This window comes from Homo sapiens, chromosome 6 (genome assembly GCF_000001405.40).
Source record: "Homo sapiens chromosome 6, GRCh38.p14 Primary Assembly".
Lineage (NCBI taxonomy): Eukaryota > Metazoa > Chordata > Mammalia > Primates > Hominidae > Homo > Homo sapiens.
This window is the reverse complement of record NC_000006.12, coordinates 56,120,844-56,142,544: the sequence shown is the minus strand read 5'-3', so window position 1 is coordinate 56,142,544 and position 21,701 is coordinate 56,120,844. Positions and strand designations below refer to the sequence as shown.

General features: G+C 36.4%; 1 protein-coding gene across 12 annotated transcripts in view; it reads left to right on the top strand.

Moving 5' to 3' along the window:
- COL21A1 (collagen type XXI alpha 1 chain) overlaps nt 1-21,701 on the top strand; it is a 337,539-nt gene that overhangs the window by 251,584 nt on the left and 64,254 nt on the right. For all 12 annotated transcript variants that reach the window (NR_134849.2, NR_134850.2, NR_134851.2 and 9 more), the window contains 6 exons: nt 562-615; nt 707-760; nt 16,396-16,449; nt 16,925-16,978; nt 18,253-18,306; nt 18,430-18,483. Coding sequence is in view for 9 of the 12 variants with exons in the window: in NM_001318752.2 (NP_001305681.1) it covers nt 562-615; nt 707-760; nt 16,396-16,449; nt 16,925-16,978; nt 18,253-18,306; nt 18,430-18,483 (324 nt within the window). In the remaining 3 variants the exon portion in view is untranslated. The remainder of the gene's footprint in view (nt 1-561; nt 616-706; nt 761-16,395; nt 16,450-16,924; nt 16,979-18,252; nt 18,307-18,429; nt 18,484-21,701) is intronic.

Below are 21,701 nucleotides of genomic sequence, written 5' to 3'. Positions count from 1 at the left end.
TTCTCTCATCCCCCTCCCCTAAGCAAACAGCCCAGCTTTGGGGGACCATGGAGGATATGTCATAACCACCTTCTTACATTTAACATCAGCAGCTTTCTAAAATGAGTAATTTAAAGATTGAAGAATAATATTAATTAAAGATTAATTTATTCTAGGGACTAACTCAGATGGCCATTAATTAGGTGGTTTACAAATACACATTTGTTTAATCCTCCAATCTCTTGAAGTGTTTCTCTCTTGGATATGTTGAATGTATTTCTGATAAATCCAGTACATTTCTTAAGAAACTGTGAACATTAACTCTCCTCTTAATTTAAGATTTTCTAAATATTTTTATTAATTTACAAATATTTAGGGCCCTATATACTTTTTAAAGGATTTCATAAAGATCAAAGGGTATGAATTCCTTATTAAGCATTTAACACTTTATTATTTTGGATTTGTCTCTAAGTGAAGTTTTAGGCATGAGAAACTTGAGATAAGAGTGAATTCTGAAACGAAGAACTTCTCTTGGTAAATATGATGAAATATTATTTTTTTTCTTTTTAAATTTTTCTTTAGGGATATCAGGGAATTGCAGGGACACCAGGTGTTCCAGGATCTCCAGGAATACAAGTATGTGATCCACTTATATACATTTTATAAATTTTATTTTTAGTGAACTAAAACCGATAATTAACAAAATTTTATTTTCTGGTTAATTTAGGGAGCTCGAGGACTACCAGGTTACAAAGGAGAACCAGGGCGAGATGGTGACAAGGTAAACACACACAAAAATGCAATCAATGGTGTTAGTCCCTCAAAGATAAAGGATGTTAGCTGTGATGGTTTCCATTCAATAGTCTGCGTCTTGGTGAATTCTAAGATTTGTGGGCTCAGAAATTTGTCAGTGGCTATTAGACAATAAAGCTTATAGAAGGCTTTATCACTACATAAAAGAAGTTATCATTGACCACTATCAAATGAAACAGACTTTGGCATTGCCCTATGCCATGTTCTCTCCCTGTGGTTAAGCTCCACAGGGAGTTACCTTCTTAGAGGGGAGTGGGTTATGTGAAAGGAAAGTGTTACCATGTTAACCTCAGATAGTCCAATACCCAAGGGACCATCTCCACAATTGGTATCTATCTGGCACGTGGCCTATTGGCTCAGCCACATTTTTTAGATTCCACATATAAGTGAGATGATATGGTATTTGTCTTTTTGTCCCTGACTTATTTCGCTTAACAAAAATGTCTTCCAGGTTCATTCATGTTGTTGAAAATGACAGGATTTCCTTCTTTTTTATAGCTGAATAGTATTCCATTATGTATATATACCACAATTTCTTTATCCATTCATCCATTGACAGAACTTAGGTTTAGGCCATGTCCTGGCTACTGTGAATAGTGCTGCAATAAAATGGGAGTGCAAATATCTCCCCAACATACTGATTTCATTCTTTAGTTGAGTTTTACACACTAAACATAAAAAGGGGGATTTCATTTGTACATCTTAAAATAATTGAACTAAATTTTTGTGGGAATAAATGTTCCTTACTTTAAAATAAAAGAATAACTATAATTCTACTAGTGGCATCTTATGCTGACTGCTTTATTGTTTTGGGTCATTATGTTGTCTTTTAAATATAGGTCTGTGAATTTTACAATGTCATACATTTTACTGGATAAGATAAATAAGATGTATATTTATGCAAGGTCTCTGTTTTCAGACCAGTTGTGGATTTTATTCAGAGTTGATTGTTTTCTGAAGTTCATTGTTGGGGTTAAACTCTGATTTGACCTAGTCATTGTGGGTCTAAAATCACCATGTACTACCTTCCAAGTTTCCGCTTCACATTCCATGTGGCTTCTGAGAGTTCTTTGCCCAGAGCTAAAATAATTTAGTAAGTTAATTGAAGGTTTTTCCTTGATTATTCCTTTATAACATGGTTACTTGATTTTTGGAAATGAAGGGTTAAAGAACATACCCCTGAGATGACTTTGACTTGTGGCAGTGCAGGATACTTTTCCAGGTATCACGCAGTCGCCTTTGGAAGATTGTTCCACACAATACTGTTCCCCATTAGGACATTTTCCCAGAATAATTTCCATTTTGTGGATTTTCTCCAAAGACTCCTACAGTAGGAATTTCCACTTAAGATAATTGAAATTAGATGTGCTTTCTTTCTGACTTTAACATTTGTTCTTCACATATCACACAATAGAATATACATAGATTTTGCAGGGTGTTTTTTCCTGAATTTGCAAAATCAAAAGGAATACTTACTCAGCAAATAGTCTTCAGTTGGTAACTAATTTTATTACATGCTTTAAAGCTATTCTTTGAAATCTAAAAAATACTTTAAATGCTTTAAAATACTTCCTCAATATTAAAAAACTAATATATTTAAATTGTATGGAGAACTAATTTTTGTTAAAACTTACATTAGGTGATGCTGGTTAATTGATATGTATTTATGAATTTTCAAATTGAGTTTGAAACTTTTCCATGGCAAATTCAATTTTACAGATGTAGGAAGTATGAGTAATTTATTTTTTAACCTATCCAGACTCTGTACAAACTCATTACTTGACTTTTCTGGGCTTAAGAAATAAAATGTCATAATTATATCTAGGGTATTATTGGAAGAATTATAGATTTTATTTTCTTTGTTAGTACATTCAACTTTTAAGTGGTCCCTTCAAAGCCTCACTTTCCCATTGTCCTCAGCATCCAGACCGGAGCACCATGTGATGGGTAAGACTTCCCTACCTGAATAAAGTTCCTTACCTCTGGGCCTCCAACATCGAAAAACTAAGTGGTTTTACAGTGATTTCTGTTATAGAGTCAGTCATAACCAAGGAACTCCAATATATATTTTGAGAGAACAGGGGTAAAAAAGCTAAAAAATGTTAGAGAATACATGTTAAAACAGTATGTTAGTGGTATTACTTCTTTCAGTGTTCCTGAAGACCAAACAAAAATTACCAAAACAGGGAGAGAGTCTACCCATGTGATTTTCTGATAACACCATGCCCAAACACTTGTGTGTGTGTGTGTGTATGTGCACAAGTGTGTGTGCACAAGTGTGCATGTGTGTGAGATTTGGGGGCTTAAAGCAGTTACAGATTATAGATTATAGGCTTAGTTCTGAATTTAGACTGCTTACCTCCCAAATCACACTTGTTAATCTCTTTAAACCTGGTTTTTATCATCTGGAAAGTGGAAGCCATAGTATTACTTACTGCCTAGGCTTTTTGTGAAGATTAAATGAGGACATGCATGTGGTTGGCCTAAATTAAATGCTATAAATTGGTGATGATAGTGATGATGATCATGATTTGTTATTGGGCCACCATTCTGCTGATTACTTAAGGCAAAATTTTTGGAAATATCTTTGAGTGATCCTTTATCCTTCCTCTCTCTGTTGAAGTGCTGCATCTGAAACAATCAGACAGAAATTCCCTAAATGTCTTCCCACTATGTCTACCCTCCTACCCGTATATGTACCTATATTCTGCCTTTCCTCCTCTTATTATGGGCGAAGTGTCCATGTGGAGTCCACAGGCCTCCTCTTGCAGTCTGGATCCCATCTTTTTCCATTACTTTGTGTATTAACTAGCCCTTCTCTTCTGTGTCAATAGTCATTTTCTTTTCTAGTTAAATTTTCCCAATAGCCTAAAGGATGATCCATTTGAAACCACCCAAACCTCCCCACTTCCTCTACCACATATCTTCCTTTAGCTACCAGGCCATTTCCCTGTTTCTCATTGTAGTACAAGTGCTCCAAAAGGTTTGCCTTTATTTCCTGCACATTTTCACTGCCATTTCTCTCTCTGACCCACTCTAGTAGGACTTCCATCCCAACCTTCTGCTGCATATTTAGATCACCAGTCTTCCATCTTTGAAATCCAGTAGTCAGTATTTTTCAATTATTTCTTCTTGTCTTGCTGTATGTCTCTACAGTGTTTGACACTGTTGACTATTCCCTCCTTCTTGGGACAATTTCTTCTCTTGGCTTCTGGGATACCACATGCTCCTAGATTTCTCCTTGCTGCCACTAGTTACCTTTTCATGTTTTCTCGTTGGCTCTTTCTCTTCCTCCTCCACACATTCTCTAAATGTTGGGGTGCCTCCAGGATTCAGCCCTGTCCTCTTCCCCTTCCTCATTAAGAGATTTTATTATTGTAATATTAAGAAGTATAAACATATATGGATATAAATGTATATATAAAATATATATGCATATATTTTATAATTATAGTAATAATTATTGATATGATTACTACTATAGTAAATAATAAGAATATTAAATACAGACATACACATATGCACAACCTCTTTTCTAAAAAATATTTTGCTTCCTCTGAATCTGGAGAAACTTGGAGTTGTTACAATCGGGTTTTCAGAAAACAAATTTCTCTACTTTTTATGGAAGTGGTGTTACTATTAGGTTGGTGCAAAAGTAATTGTGATTTTTGACATTACTTTCAATGGCAAAAACTGCAATTTCCTTTAAAAAAATCCTTTCCTCAGAGGATTTTCTCCCCAAACAGCACTAGCTTTGCCCTCCCTAAATATTCTCTGATATTAGGCATTGTTGAGTGTCCTTTCTGTACACATGGTGCTGACTTATGTGTGCTCAGGTTTTAACTAATTCTGTGGCTGCTTTTGCAATCTGGATTATCTCCTGATCTTTCAACCTTTTTTCTTTTAAAACTATAATATAGTGGATTTAACATCTTAGTTTATTATGAAGAACCATTAATTCCATGTCTTGCCTTATTTATTGGATGTTATTCCTCTTCTGTCCTGGTTTTCTCTTTTTTCTGTTGGTATTATAAGGAAACTTAAAACTTTTATTGAATTTTTTAGAATGCTTTATATTTTGTTGGTTCTAAACTTGATTTTTATCTTCTCTTTGGATGTCTTCTGTTGTATGGTCGTTGAGAAGCTACTGCAGAGACTCAGTAGTAGAAGTTTAGAAATCTATTTCTTTTGTAGGCATGAGTAGTTCAATGGTAATCCCAAACCCCAAATGGAATCCCCATCACTGTGTTAGAGAGAGGAATTATTTTAGTGGATTAAAATAGTTTCCCATAGGTCATTATTGCCTGAGCTTGTGTAAGACTTAGGATTTGTGTTTTTGTTGTTGTTTTTGCTTTTATTTTTTCTGAGAGGAAAAGAAGCCACGGATCTGTACAAAACTTTATGTATTGGGTGCTTTCACGGTTTTTACTGTGGTGTGTACCCTTTTCTATTTTATTCCTGATATGTTTTGCATCAATTTTGTCCATATGCATTCCCCTTTACATTAAATCCTCACAAAAAGTCCTGTGGGATTAGTACAGTAAGTCATACTGTGCTCATTTTAGATTAATTGTGAAGTAAATTATCCTCATTTTACATTTTGGAGAACTGAAAAATGAAGAGCTTAAGTCATTTGTGTCAAGTTACTCAAGGATCTAGGGGGTTGAAATAAAATACCTTGATCCCAATCTGGCTTTCTTTTTCCTGCATTTTTCTGCTTTGGCCAGAGTAGTTTTTCACTGTGTGACTTGTGCTTCTTTTAGTCTACTGCCTGCACTGTGAGAAGAATCCCTGAATGCCTGTCAAGAGCCAAGAAGATAGGCAGGGGAGGGAGAAGATGAATGAGTACCCACGGTCGTGCTGACTGGGCCATAGGAGTGTTCATGGTCTACATTTCTCTCTAGGGAAGAGGGATAGTTCATTGTAGATCATAGGTCATCAAACCTTTAAATTGCAAAATGTATTGCAGTAAAAGACTTTTGGACATGTAGACTCATATATAAAAATTATATATCTGTGCTACTGAGCAAAGTATTATGTGAATTTGAAACACACACACAAAGACATTTTTTAAAATGAATTTTAAAAATAGTAGTTCTCATGTTCTTTTACTAGCCCCAAAAATAATCTTGACCTGACTGAAGACTATGACTCTAGATCGGCTTAAAAGATGGACAGGCTCATCAAAGTTATATTCATCAGCCATGAAAGGTTTGGAAAGCAGCCTGTGGGAAGTGGAATTATCTTACTAGTTTGGATTCTCTTTGACTTTAATCACTTGTAAACTCTGATAGGACCAAGAGTGTGACTCCCCCAAATATTTGTTTTATTGAAATTTTCTTTGAGCACCCAAGAGTGTTGACTGTGTTTTGGGAAATGAAAACATTCTGTATATTCAGCAAATTATTATTAATCACAAGCAAGACAATAGGTAGGCTAGAGTAGCTTATGCTACAGTAACAAGCAAACCCACATGCTTGTGGCTTAAATCAAAGGTTTATTGCTCCTCAAACTACATATTTATCAGCAGCAGTGAGGAGCTTCCCATTGTCTTCACAGGGAGACTCAGATTAACAGATATTTCACCATCTAGATCATGACTAATTATGGTGGCAGGTGCAGAGAGAATCAAACATTGGCTTTTAAATCACTACCATTCATGTTTAATTAACTAGAGCAAATTGTGCAAACCACATGTATTTTAACAGATTAGGTAAGTATGATTTCCCATATGCCAGAGAGTGGAGAGGAATCTGGATATGAGTAAATAGTAGTTGTACCGAGAAAAAAATAGGAATGAGTTAAGGATGAATTGTTTCCTCAAAGAGGTTGGAGTCTGATAAAGGACATAACACAAAGTAACTGTATTTCAAGATAGTCAATGTTAAGTGCCAAAGAAGAAAGTCAAATAAAATTCTCTAGGAGTTTAAAGGAAAGTTAAAAATTGGAAAGGCTTCATGAAAGAAAATATAAAGAAAAGGTTAATCATAGCTATACGATGTAGGGACTGTTTTTATCAAATTTAAGAAATCTCAAAGATTGCCTTGGTTCTTTATTTATTATTATTATTTAGGCATTACCAATAAGACTGTAAGAAACATCTTTGAATATATTTCTCAGTAGTTTTTCATGAGTTTATCAACAGGAAAAGTCCTCGGAAGTGAAATTGATTATTGGATCAAAGGGTTAACTTCATAGTTAAACTTTGATTTAAATTGCTTATTGAGTTCCCAGAAAGTTGATTCTCTTTCAACAAGTATATGAGAATATCTTTCCTCACATTCTTATCAGCACTGTTTTTTTTTTAATTCTAATTTTCACCTGTATAGTTTAGAAATGATACTGGTTTGATTTTCATTGCTTTATTAGTGAGTTGGGTAAGGTATCTTGACATGCGATTTGGGGGCATTGTGTTACTTCTCTGTAATTTGCCGGTTTTCTCATATCTTTTATTTTCCTACTGGGCTGTGATCCTTTTAAAGATTGATTTTTATATGCATTTCATAAGTTGTTGTTTGTATGTGTGAAAATATTTTTTCTGGGTTGTATTATGTGTTTTTACTTGGTTTTTGGAATTTTAGCCATAGAGAAAATTTTCATTTTCATGTAAAATAGTTTTTTCTTCTTTTTTTCTCCTATCTTTGTATATAAATAGAAAGGTTTCACATTCTAGCATGTTGATTATAATTACTGATGATTTTATTTTTGTAATTTTATTATTTTATTTTTTACCTTTAATTTTTGGTTTTTGGAGTAAAGTTAGGTAAGCATTTGTATTAGTGTGTTTCCACTAATACAATAAAGACATACCTGAGACTGGGCAATTTACAAAAGAAAGAGGTTTAATGGACTTAAAGTTCCATGTGACTGGGGAGGCCTCACAATCATGGGAGGGGGCCTCACAATCATGGTGGAAGGCAAGGAGGAGCAAGTCATGTCTTACATGGATGGCAGCAGGCAAAGAGAAAGAGCTTGTGCAGGGAAACTCCCATTTTTAAAACGATCAGATCTCACGAGACTTATTCACTATCATGTGAACAGCACAGGAAAGACCCACCCCATGATTCAATTGCCTCCCGTTGGGTTCCTCCCACAAGTGGGAATTATGGAAGTTACAATTCAATTTGAGATTTGGGTGGGGACATAGCCAAACCGTATCATTCCACTCCTGTTCCCTCCCAAATCTTATGTCTTCACATTTCAAAACCAATCATGCCTTCCCAACAGTACCCCAAAGTCTTAAATCATTTCAGCATTAACTTGAAAGTCCATAGTCCAAAGTCTCATTTGAGACAAGGCAAGTCCTTTCCACTTATGAGCCAGTAAAATCAAAAGCAACTTAATTATTTCCTAGATAAAATAGGGGTACAGGCATTGGATAAATACTCCCATTCCGAATGGGAGAAATTGACCAAAACGAAGGGGGTAAAGGCCCTATGCAAGTCTGAAATCCAGCGGTGCAGTCAAATCTTAAAGCTCCAAAATGCTCTCCTTTTACTCCATGTCTTACATCCAGGTCATGCTGATGCAAGAAGGGGGTTCCCATGGTCTTGGGCAGCTCTGCTTCTGTAGCTTTGCAGGGTACAGCCTCCCTCTCGATTGCTTTCACAGTCTGGCATTGAGTGTCTGTGGTTTTTCCAGGTGCATGGTGCAAGCTATCGGTAGATATACCATTCTGGGGTTTGGAGGACTGTGACCTTCTTCTCACAGCTCTGCTAGGCAGTACCCCAGTAGGGACTCTGGGGGCTCCAACCCCACATTTCCCTTCCTCACTGCCCAAGCAGAGGTTTTCCACCAGGACCCTGCCCCTGCAGCAAATTTCTGCCTGGGCATCCAGGCATTTCCATACATCCTCTGAAGTCTAGGTGGAGGTTCCCAAACCTCAGTTCTTGACTTCTGTGCATCTGCAGTGTCAACACCACATGGAAGCTGCCAAGGCTTGGGGCCTGCACCCTCTGAAGCAATGGCTCATGCTGTACCTTGGTCCCTTTTAGCCATGGCTGGAGTGGCTAGAACGTAGGGTACCAAGTCCCTAGGCTGCACAGAGCAAGGGGGCCCTGGCTCTGGCCCATGAAAACATTTTTTCCTCATAGGCCTCCAGGCCTGTGATGGGAGGGGCTGCCATGAAGACCTCTGACATGCCCTGAAGACATTTTTGCCATTTTGTTGGAGATTAACATTCAGCTGCTTGTTACTTATGCAAATTCCTGCAGCCGGCTTAAATTTCTCCGCAGAAAATGGGATTTTCTTTTCTATCACATTATCAGGCTGCAAATTTTCCAAATTTTATACTCTACTTCATTTATAAAATTGAATGCCTTTAACAGCACCCAAGTTACCTCTTGAATGCCTTGCTCCTTAGAAATTTCTTCTGCCAGATACTCTAAATAATCTCAAAGTTCTACAAATCTTTAGGGCAGGGGAAAAATGCCACCAGTCTCTTTACTAAAACATAACAAGAGTTGCTTTTACTCCAGTTCCCAACAAGTTTCTCATCTCCATCTGAGATCACCTGAACCTGGGTTTCATTGTCCATGTCATTGTCAGCATTTTGGTCAAAGCCATTCAACAAGTCTCTGGGGAGTTCAAAACTTTCTCACATTTTTCTGTGTTCTTCTGAGCCCTCCAAACTGTTCCAACCTCTGCCGGTTACCCAGTTCCAAAGTTGCTTCCACATTTTTGGTTATCTTTTCAGCAGCACCCTACTCTACTGGTACCAATTAATGGATTAGTTCATTTTCACACTGCTGATAAAGACATAGCTGAGACTGGGCAATTTACAAAAGAAAGAGGTTTAATGGACTGACAGTTTCATGTGGCTGGGGAGGCCTCACAATCATGGTGGAGGGCAAGGAGGAGCAAGTCAAGTCTTACATGAATGGCAGCAGGAAAACAGCCAGCTTGTGGAGGGAAACTCGCATTTTTAAAACCATCAGATCTTATGAGACATATTCACTATCATGAGAGCAGCACGTGAAAGACCCGCCCCTATGATTCAATTACCTCCCACTGGGTTCCTCCCATGACAAGTGGGAATTGTGGGAGGTACAATTCAAAATGAGATTTGGGTGGGGACACAGCCAAACCATACCAGCATTCTTATTTTATGAAATCATTTTTCTAAATAAAGAGCCAGTTGCCATAGTATTCATGGAATACCACTTTTTTCTCCATTTATTTCCATTAAATTTCCACTTTCATTTGGGCCTGGTGTTTTGGCTTTACATTCTGTTTCATTGACCTGTCTACATCTTCTCCATTGCAGAATTGTTTTAATTATTGTCACTTCATGATCTGACTTAATATTGGCAGGGCTAATCCTTCCTCATTATTCTTTATAATCAAAATTTCCTGGCTACTTTTGAATACTTATTTTTCCAGATAAAGCTCAGTATCTTTCCTTCAATTTTTTAGAAATTGCTATTCACATTTCAGTTAGGATCCCTTTGCACATATGGATTAGTTTTAGAAGCATTGACATCTCTCCAATTGCTATTCAAGATTATGGCTTATTTTTCTTTTTACTTCAATCTTGAATTTTTTGATATTAGTCCCAAACATTATCCAATTTTATTTTAACCTAAAAATTTTTTATCTCTTTTGTTTTTATTATAAATGGAGCCCTTTAAAAATATATTTTATATTGGTTATATTATATATATAAAAAGCTATTTATTTTTTATATTTTTAAAGCACCAAGTGAATTCATTTCTCTTACTCATTTAGGTTATTAGATCTATTGACATATTAGAGGTATAATCTTAAAAATAATTTTTCTTCCTTTTATTTTTAGCCTTATTTCTATATTTGTCTAAATTTGTTGGTAGTCCAGAAAAAGTATTAAAAATAGTGCAAATACAGGGTAACTTTGTTTTCATGTTAAGTCTCCAACAGGCAGAGTCTCTTTTAGTTCAGGTTGGTGGTTCCTGTGGTATTATATAATAACTCTCTCAACAGCATATAGTATATGTATACGTGTGTGTGTGTATTTGCAATTTTATGTTTTTGACTTTTGATTCCAGCCAATAGCAGCATCCACAATCTTGTTTCAATCACATCTCCTTCTCTACACTTAATAATGGGTGACCTAAATTAATCAGGCATCCACTACACTCTTTGTTTACTTTTCATGCGTCACACTGTCCAGCTTGACAGGATTTATTGAACCTCCCCTTAATGGACTCAGAGATTTTTAAGGATGGTGTTTATAGCCACATCTTTGATTTCATCCCTCCCAGAGGCTGAGTTTTACTGGACTTTTATTTTTTAAAAGCATTCACCATTACATTAGAGATGAGAAAAACAATTGTATCTCCCAATCCCAGTGTTTTTACACTTGGTCTATTTCTTTTAATTACTACTTGCAACCTGGCCAATTATTTTGTGAGCGCATATATTTTTTAAAATAGTACCTTGTCAAATACTTCCAATAACAGTCAATTCATAATATATATTTACATTCTGTTTTCTCAGTTCTTTACCTCTAGCTATAAGTTCATTTGATACATTATTTGCCTTTGCAAGTTATTACAAGCAAGGCTTTTTATCAATTATTTCACCACAATTTTACATAAGACACCATTTTTTCAACCTTCAGTAATTGTTTTTCATTGCTCACTACCTGTCCCCAAAGCCAATGACATATATACATTTTAATATTGTTGTTTTGGCAGCCTCCTATTTCTAATATTCCAACTGTACTAATTAACTTAGGCTAAGCTGCATTATAGTAACAAATGACCCAGTGGCTCAGAGGCCAACACAGGAGCCATTTATCTTTTATGTTACATGCCCATCCTGGATAGGCTTTGGCCCAACTTTATCTCTTCTTTGCTATCCATTGCTGTTAAACCTTATAAATAACTTGATTGAGTATAATGTGTTTGAGCCATACTTTTTTGTGTTCCATATTTTGTACATACTGTTTCAATATTCCCCAACAGTTTTGCTGACAACTTGTTGCTGCTCGCTCTCTCCTTCTTTCTCTCTCTCTCACACTGATTTATGTTAACATGAATACTACACCTTTTTATTATACTTAAAAATCTTCCTTCGGCACATAAGAGTAGCTTTGTCCAGACCTCGTATTTTTTTCTGTCCCAACATGAGTGGATGTTCCTAGTCTTCCTACTTCATCTGAGATCTGTTTGCCATCTCCAATAAAAGAAAGTTTGGATATTATGTCTTTTATAACCTATAGCCAGAGAATGGAAGTCATAGCTTGGACTTTGTTCAGCCTTAATAGGGAATCTCAGCTTACCTCTTTCTTCTATAGTTTTATTAAACATTCATTACCCAGCTAAATTCCATCTTATTAATAGTATATCTTAGTCTAGCTCTACCTTTAACTGGTTATCTCAATGTAGTGTTTTCTAAAGAGTCAACTCAGATTGTTTTCTTAACTCCAGTCCTCTTTCTCTCTCTCAGAACTCTGCCCATTCCTGCTCCAAGCAAAAGGGAAATATATATATATAATATACATGTATATAATTTGAAATTTTAATTTCAAATTTTAAATTATAAATATGTAATTTGAAATTTTATATATATATATATATATATATATATATATATATATATATATATAAAACCCTGTCATGAATGCTCTCAGGGAGGCAGAACCCCTGCTATGCCCTGCTTCAGCTGTGTTCCTCAGTGTTGAGTGAGGAATCTTCAGAACCTGAAGAACACATTCCACCACACCATTGAGCTTAACCAAAAACAAGCAAACAAAAAACACATTCTGGATCTTAGATATAAAATTTCTGAATGACACACACAAACACACACACACACACTTTGAATATATATATTCAAAAGGTAGTTTGGGTTAGGTTCTTGTATTAGGAGTTCATATGGTAGGGGAAAGAATACCCAGTTTTCTTGTGTCATTTGGTCTTCCCCTAAAATTTATTTTTTCTTTTGTCCTCTGTTTGGGTAAATTGTTGAATTTGGGGAATAATTCGTTCTAGGGTGTTATAGGCTTTTATTGGGTCTTTTCTCTCCCTACCTATCTTTCTGTCTGTCTGTCTCTCTCTCTCTCTCTCTCTCTCACACACACACACACACACACACACGCACGCACGTGACAGAGGAAGCAACACACACACACGCACGCACGTGACAGAGGAAGCAATTATTCTTGAGAAAGACATTTAGTATAAGCTAAAAAATATGATTCCTTTTAGACTGGAAACATAGTTATTCTTTGTATTTGTTAGGTGGGTGGCAAAGATCTATAACAAATAGACCAAATGCAGTAGTTTAAATGAGAAAGAAGTTTATTTTTCTCATATAATTGGTTGTCTACAAAGTCATTCAGGCACTTGTGTTTTTCCCTCTTGTTGCTCTAGTCTCTCTGAGTGTTGCTGTCACTTATAAAGTCAAGGTTATATCACCAGTTACTGTATTATCTGCATTCTAGGATACTGGGAAGCTGAATCCTAAAATTAGAAGAGATCTGATTTATATAACAGAGGCCCCCCTTTTGCCAGTACACACACACACTTATATGTACACATGCACACATATGCACAGATACTCCACAGGTTCCGGAAATGATAATATCAATGTTTCTAAAGTGGAGGTGAAAGCAGAGCTAAAAATGCAAACATGACTGAATGTCCATTTAAGAAGAGTTAAATCCCACTATCCCTTCCTCAACTCTGTGTAGCCAAGTGAATCTGTCCTCCACCGTAGCAGAAACACGAAAGTTTATTTTCTGGAGAAGAGAAAGCTGAGGGTCTCTAGCCTGGGGAGAGGAGGGAGAGTTGTACTAAAATTAAAACAATAGGAGTAGGCTGAGCATGGTGGCTCATGCCTGTAATCCTAGCACTTTGGGAGGCCGAGGCAGGTAGATCACCTGAGGTCAGGAGTTTGAGACCACCATGGCCAACAGGGTGAAACCCTGTCTCTACTAAAAATACAAAAATTAGCCAGGCATGGTGGTGGGTACCTGTAATCCCGGCTACTCAGGAGGCTGAGGCAGGAGAATCACCTGAGCCTGGGGGGCAGAGGTTGCAGTGAGCCGCGATCACACCACTTCACTCCAGCCTGGGCGAAAGAGCGAAACTCCATCTCAAAAAACAAAACAGAACAAAAACAATGGGAATTGGTGATAGTTTACTCATGTGGCGACCTCCTTCTCCTCTTTCTCTACGTGGCCTCCAGAATGCGGTCAGCCAGTCCTATAAACTAGAGACATAGAAGATCCTTGTATGGGAAGTCTACTGACATCTAGAACAGCATCCAATGAAATGGCACAGCCAGACCACATTACAGTGAAGTTCAGAGTCATTGAACTCTACCCACGGAGAGATTCTCCTATCACCTTCCATATGAGCTGACAATAAAGAATCACCAAATATCACAGGAACGTTAAAGATCAACAAACAGAAAGTCTTGGAAGAAACTGATACAAGACAGGGAGAGGAAGACTTGAAAAAACCCTGTCATGAATGCTTTCAGGGAGGCAGAACCCCTGCTACACCCTGCTTCAGCTGTGTTCCTCAGTGTTGAGTGAGGAGTCTTCAGAACCTGAAGAACACATTCCATCACACCATTGAGCTTAACCAAAAACAAGCAAACAAAAAACACATTCTGGATCTTAGATTCTGACAGTCCCTGAACAATCTACCCCAATCCCATTTCCAGGGTTTGCCGTCCCCTTTCCTGCCTTTGTCTTCCTAAAGACCTTCCAGCACAATTGTGTGTCCACCCCTATGCTTACAGGTGGCTGAGAGGAGCCTGTTTATGTGACGTATGGATGGGGATGGAGCTTGGAAGTGTAGTCTGGGATGTCCACGTTTATGGGCATGAGTTCTCTATAGATGAAAAGGCCTATAGAGTACCTAGCATAATGGATGATTATAGACCACACCAGTGTATAATAGCATAATACTTCAAGACACTGGAAACAAGAGGAAGATCTGCAAGCTTCTTTGGGAAAAAACTGCACCAGTCCTACCATCCCTACCCTCCCACTCCAGGCTCCAAAAAACACACAAGAAACAAAAGGCTACATACAAATGTTCAGGAATCAGACTTCACACGTCTTATTAGTGACATTGAACTCAAGAACTGAGTGAAGCAGAGCCTTCAAACGTCTGATTTAAAAATTCTAAATTATCATCAATTATATAAATGAATAGAATAAGGACATTTTCAGAGATTTAAGGTATCAGAAAGTAATCTCCCGTGTATTCCTTCTCAGGAAGCCATTGGATATTATATTCCCCTAAACAAGATAATGAACTCAGAAATAAAGAACATCAAATTCATACTGAAATGAGACAGGTCTAGGAGATATTTATTAAAGAAAAATTTTCAATGCAAATGAATACAATCAGAAGTGATTTTGACAGTTGGAAAGATTTTGGAGTTCAATATAACAATCAGTTTATAGGAAACTAAACGATTAAAATGGCCATATTTGACTCCAGGAAAGATAAACATTTGGGCAAGAAAAGGCAAGTAATGAGAATATATTTATAGCTTATCTGCAAGTCTTAACAAAATAAACCCTGACTACTGATTTAACCAAAGCTGTAATTGAGGATTAAGGGGATTTTTGTCTGTTAGAAGTGGAGATGGGGAGGAGGTGTTGGATGCTATGAGAGATTAATCCTCTGCATTCATGGTGGGAAGTCAGTAGATAATGAAGAAAATGGAAAATGTAGCTATAACCAATGGTTTGGTGATTTGAACTCAAAGAGATGTGGAGCTTTGGAATAAAAAGAGTTGCCTTTGGAGGGTTCTATAAGCCTTGAATAAATATATCACTCTTTAAATCATATGAATCAATAACTTTTATAAAAATTATATCAGTCACAGATGATATAATCTTTAATATGTCTACCAGACAAGCTAGGAGTATAATTGATTGCTTGTGTGTAATCTTAATTTGTCTAGATAAAAGTGAATCTGACCCAAATTTTGCCATGAAAGTCATTGGTTCTTTATTTACTATGTCTCCACAATTAAGATTTTGAAGCTAAAGCAGTATCATCCAACATATCCCACTGAACTAAGTACTAAACTTATATCTACTAAATAACAAGTTGTTATGACTTTTCTTCGTCTTTTCTCTTTTGGAGAAAACTTATGGCCTTCATGTTCATAGACACATATGAACAGATACCTTCTATGAGTAATTAGTAAGATAAGCAATTTTTAAAAATTCCACAGAATCCTAGTCTGTGTTTAGACTTTATGCTTAGGGCCTTTCATTACTGAGCTGGATTGGACCTCAGAGGTTAACTGTTTCCTGAGTGTGTTGGGATTAGATCATTTCAATTAATTCATGTGTCTTGCCCCTGTAAAAGCCTAAGACTTTTTCAGAATAGGTGGTGGCTAACTAAGGGTGGAGTCAGGATTGCTAGTGAGATTTTCTTAGCTCCAAAATACTTATCTTCTCTGATTATAAATGAAACCCTGAAAAGTAGGGATAATTTTTCATAGAGATAATTGAATGCTGATATGAAATTAACTGTTTGCAGATAGATTTGAAGTGGATTTTGACAAGGGTGAGGTTGAAGAATAGATGATGATATTGTTTAGGCTGGAATGGTTTTTCTTTGTAATTAATTTCAGTTTTATTTTCAGGGTGATCGTGGACTTCCTGGTTTTCCTGGGCTTCATGGCATGCCAGGATCAAAGGTTGAAGAAATCTGTTTCTTTTAAATATAGCAAAGCCATTTTTTAATTCAAATATAAAGTACTTTTATATTACAAATATGTTATAAATAAATGTTCATATATAATTAGAGATAAAGTAAACAATGGGCTAAGATTAATATTAGTTTATATAAAACTTTACAAAATTCCCTTTAAAGTTTCCAGTTATAAATATATGATTTTATAGTATTTAAAAATTGATGTTATACTGTATACAAGTTTTCTTAAATATAGGCCTTAAACTATAAGCCTTGTTATAGCACTAAATGTTATTTTTTAAATTTTTCTTTATAAAGCCTGGAAATGAGGGCCTTTTAAAGCAAACTTTAAATTATTTTATTTCTATTTTGTTTTGCTTTTGGCATATTAAACTCTTTTGCTTATAATCTGTATTTTTTCTTTATAAGAAAAATATTCATATTTCTTAAATATTCACTATTTATATTTTGTCTTTTAGGGTGAAATGGGTGCCAAAGGAGACAAAGGATCACCTGGATTTTATGGCAAAAAGGGAAGTATAGATCACACAACAAAGTATTCATATTGAACTTTTAATGTAATGGAAACAGAAAACTAGAATTGCAGTTCTAACCCAGCATTAGAACAGTTAGCTCTGTTCACCCTTCTTAGGGGATTAATTCAGAACAATGAAAAAAGAAAAAAAAGAAAAAAAGAGCTGGTGACTGCAGACTGCTATGTATGGTATCCTATAAGATTATGTTGTATTGTTGATCATTCTGAGCTTTTAAAAGATTTACAGGCCGGGCGCGGTGGCTCACGCCTGTAATCCCAGCACTTTGGGAGGCCGAGGGGGGTGGATGATGATGTCAGGAGTTCGAGACCAGCCTGGCCAACATGGTAAAACCCTGTCTCTACTAAAAATACAAAAAGTAGCTGGGCGTGGTGGTGTGAGCCTGTAGTCCCAGCTGCTCAGGAGGCTAAGGCAGGAGAATCACTTGAACCTGGGAGGCGGAGGTTGCAGAGAGCCAAGATCACGCCACTGCACTCCAGCCTGCGTGACAGAGCAAGACTCCGTCTCAAAAAAAAAAAAAAAAAAAAAAAAAAAGATTTACAGATTTACAGTGAGAGATTCCTTAGGAAGCAGTAGCTGCTTAAAAACCGTGTCCACTGAAGGCCGGGCGCGGTGGCTCATGCCTGTAATCCCAGCACTTTGGGAGGCTAAGGTGGGCAGATCACGAAGTCAGGAGATCGAGACCATCCTGGCTAACACGGTGAAACCCCGTCTCTAGTAAAAATACAAAAACAAAATTAGCCAGGAGTGGTAGTGGGCGCCTGTAGTCCCAGCTACTCGGGAGCCTGAGGCAGGAGAATGGCGTGAACCCGGGAGGCGGAGCTTGCAGTGAGCGGAGATTGCACCACTGCACTCCAGCCTGGGCAACAGAGTGAGACTCCGTCTCAAAAACAAACAAACAAACAAACAAACAAAAAACATGTCCACTGAAATTTGATGTTATGGGCCTTTCTAGTTCCTCACACTGAGGGAAGAATATTTAAAATACCCATTGCTTTTTAATTTTGCCAAGATGTTATTTCTATGTTTAGATGCTTGTAATGATAATTCTGCATCTATCAACATTTTTAATGTCTTGATATTGCATCCACTGGGTTGGTAAAATAGTGCTTTGCAGAGTCAACATGAGTTGTAGTTCCATGAGTTTTTACTACATAATGATGTTAACTTAGTAGCTTTTCTATTTAAGTTTTGGTTGGAACTTGAAAACATTATTGTAAAGATTGTGTTTTAAGTGTTTGTTTTCGATACAGGGTGCAAAAGGTGAAAAGGGGAATGCTGGCTTCCCTGGCCTCCCTGGACCTGCTGTGAGTTTGATAGAAAAAAGCTCTTAGTATTTTGCTTTAAATAAAATCTATCTTATAGTATCTGTCTTTAAAGAGAAAAAATTAGTGCAAAAATATATTAAAGCATATGTATTTATTTTTTAGGGAGAACCAGGAAGACATGGAAAGGATGGATTAATGGGTAGTCCCGGTTTCAAGGTATTTATAAAAAAAAAAAAAAGGACAAAACAAAAAGATTTTTGTATCTTGAGAGGAAACATAAGAAAAATGTACCAATATTAAAATTTTTTAACATGTGGCATTGGGATAAAATTCATGAGCTAAAAGGTTTTTTACGTGTAATTTAAAAATGCTACTGAATTTCTTTTGACTTTATTGTGGACTCTTAGGTGTCAGAAGTGAATCATAGGATATTACAAGGTTGAACTTCTTCAATAAACCCTTCAGATTGGTTTATTTGGCAGGTTAGAAACAGAGGTTCTTTTCTGTGTCTCCCAAAGATTGAGGTTTCAGTGGGCTGGGAAACTGTCTTCTTAACCCCGGCTTCTTTATCAGTTGTGTGGTATGGGCATGAGAGCATTAGAGTAAGTGGGGAACTGCAAAGTGTCAATAATTCATTGTCTATGAAAAAACTCAAGGGCACATGCCCTTGGGGTGGTCCATTAGCACCATCATATTCTTAAAGTTAGGAGTTAGCTGATTTGGATACCTAAGGAGAAGATTTGTATAAGCCATCAGAGCTGAAGAGGCCATTTGGTCAATCATTGGACATAGGGATGTTATCTTGTTTTCTAACGGTCAGTTCTTTGAATCCCAAAGTTGCTCAGAAATTCAGTTCAAATTTTCTTGGTCTGTAGGTGTTTTCCAAAGGAAAAATTATTCATTTATTTACTTCAAGTGCTATGAAAGTTTTTCAAATATCCATGATTCTTCGAAGAGTATACTTTGAGGCAACACTTCCTAAGACAGTAGTAACCTGACTATAAAATATGGGAGCCCATTTTAAAGTCATTGGTTCCTTCTTGTTAATTATGCTTCAGTGGTTTCATATTTTCTCACTTATTTAATTGAACAGATTTTATTGATATTTATTAGAAACTAGACATATAGAGGAGAATAAAGCCATCATGGCTTCTACTCTTACACAGTTTATAATCTAGACTATGTGAGAGAACACAGACTTTATCTTTGCCTGCAACCTAAGCATTCATTTTAATTAATATTTTGTCCTCTGTTAGCATAAATCCATATACCCCAAGAAATGGGACTATTCTTTTTGGGAGGCAGGAGAGCTTAGAGAATAGAATGGAGTTGGATTTCCAGCTTGCAATGACTTTCTCTAACTAGCTGTATGTTCTCTGGCAAATATTTTGACAGTTTCTATTTCGAAAATAGAGTAAATGTTACCTATCTAGAATGGTATGAAAGGGACTTGAGTAAGACAAATCACCCAGCACAGTTCCTGGCAAAAAATAAGTGTTAAATAAGGAATTAGTTCTTTTATTCATTTCCTGATTTGAACACAGCTTTAAGATTCCTTTTTAGTCTTAATCTGGGTAGTATGTGCATTCATGTACCTGCAAATGTAAACATCAGTTCACTGTTTTCTAGCAGCTATATTGCTATATAATTGAAATACCATAAAATTCACCCATTTAATGTGTAGAATTCAATAGTTTTTGTGTATTTACAGAGTTATGAAACCTCATTAGAGTCAATTTTTAGAACATTTTCATTATCCCATAAAGAAACACCATGCCCTATTAAAAATACAAAAAAATTAGCTGGGTGTGGTGGTGGACGCCTGTAGTCCCAGCTACTCGGGAGGCTGAGGCAGGAGAATGGCATGATCCCAGGAGGCGGAGCTTGCAGTGAGCCGAGATGGCGCCACTGCACGCCAGCCTGGGCAACACAGCCAGACTCCATCTCAAAGAAAAAAAAAAAAAAGAAACCGCATGCCCATGTAGTGGTCTCTCCCCATTTCTCAACAAGCTACTACCCGTACATTAAACCCTTGGCAACTATTACTCTGTTTTCTGTCTCTGCAGATTTGTGCAGATTTGTGTATTCTGGACATTTCATGTAAATGGAAAGATGTAATATATGGCCTTTTGTTCTTTCAATTACCATGACATTTTTGTGGGTCATTCATGCTTTGGCTTGTATCGGTAGTACTTCATTCCTTTTTAATGCTAATAGTATTTTATTGTAGGAATATATCACTTGGTTCAACATTTTGAGGTCAGTTCACTCTTGATATTTGCCTTCCTTATAGGTTCATACTACCCTTCATATTTGACCTTGGTTATGTCTCCTATTTTCTCATTAGCATGGGTCTCCTAAAAACAATGAAGTTTTTCTGTCTTGTCTGTTTGTAAATTTTTAATGGAAACATTCATGAATTGAAAAAAAAAGCTATTTACTTTTTTTGTTTAAATTACTTTATTTTTAACAACAGTTTTAGGTTTATAGCAAAATTGAATGGAAAGTGCAGCATATTCCCACACATCCCCTGCCACTTCCCAACCCTGTACACAGGCTCTCCCATGATCAACATCTCCACCAGAGTAGTACATTTGTTACAATTGACACATCACTATTACCCAAGGTTCATAGTTTATGTTAGAGTTAATTCTTGGTATTGTACACTTGACAAATATATACATATGTATATATATACATATACATATATATATATACACATATACATATGAATATACATATATATGTATATGTATATATATATACACATATGAATATACATATATATGTATATGTATATATATATACATATGACAAAATAACCTTGTAGTATCACAGAGAATAGTTTCACTCCCTTAAAAATCCTGTGGGCTCTACCTTTTGATCCTTTCTTCTCTTCAACTACTCACAACCATTGATCTTTTTACTCTCTCCAGGGTTTTTCCTTTTTCAGCATATCATATAGTTGGAATGATACATTATGTAGCCTTTTCAGATTGGCTTCTTGCTCTTAAGAATATGCATTTAAAGTTCCCCCATGTCTTTTCATAGTTTGATGGCTACCCTCCCCAGCCTCTGTAACCATCCTTCTACCCTCTATGCCATGAGTTCAGTTATTTTGATTATTAGTTCCTACAAATACATGAGAACATGTGATGTTTGTCTTTCTGTTCCTGGCTTATTTCACTTAGCATAATGATCTCTAGTTTGATCCATGTTGTTGCAAATGACTGGATCTCATTGATTTTTATGGCTGAATAGTACTCCATTGTGTGTATGTGCCACATTTTCTTCATTCATCTGTTGATGGATACTTAGGTGACTTCCAAATCTTAGCCATTGTAAGTGCTGCCAGAAACACAGAAGTGCAGATATCCCTTTAATATGCTGATTTCCTTTCTTCTTTTGGGTACATACCCAGCAGTGGGATTGCT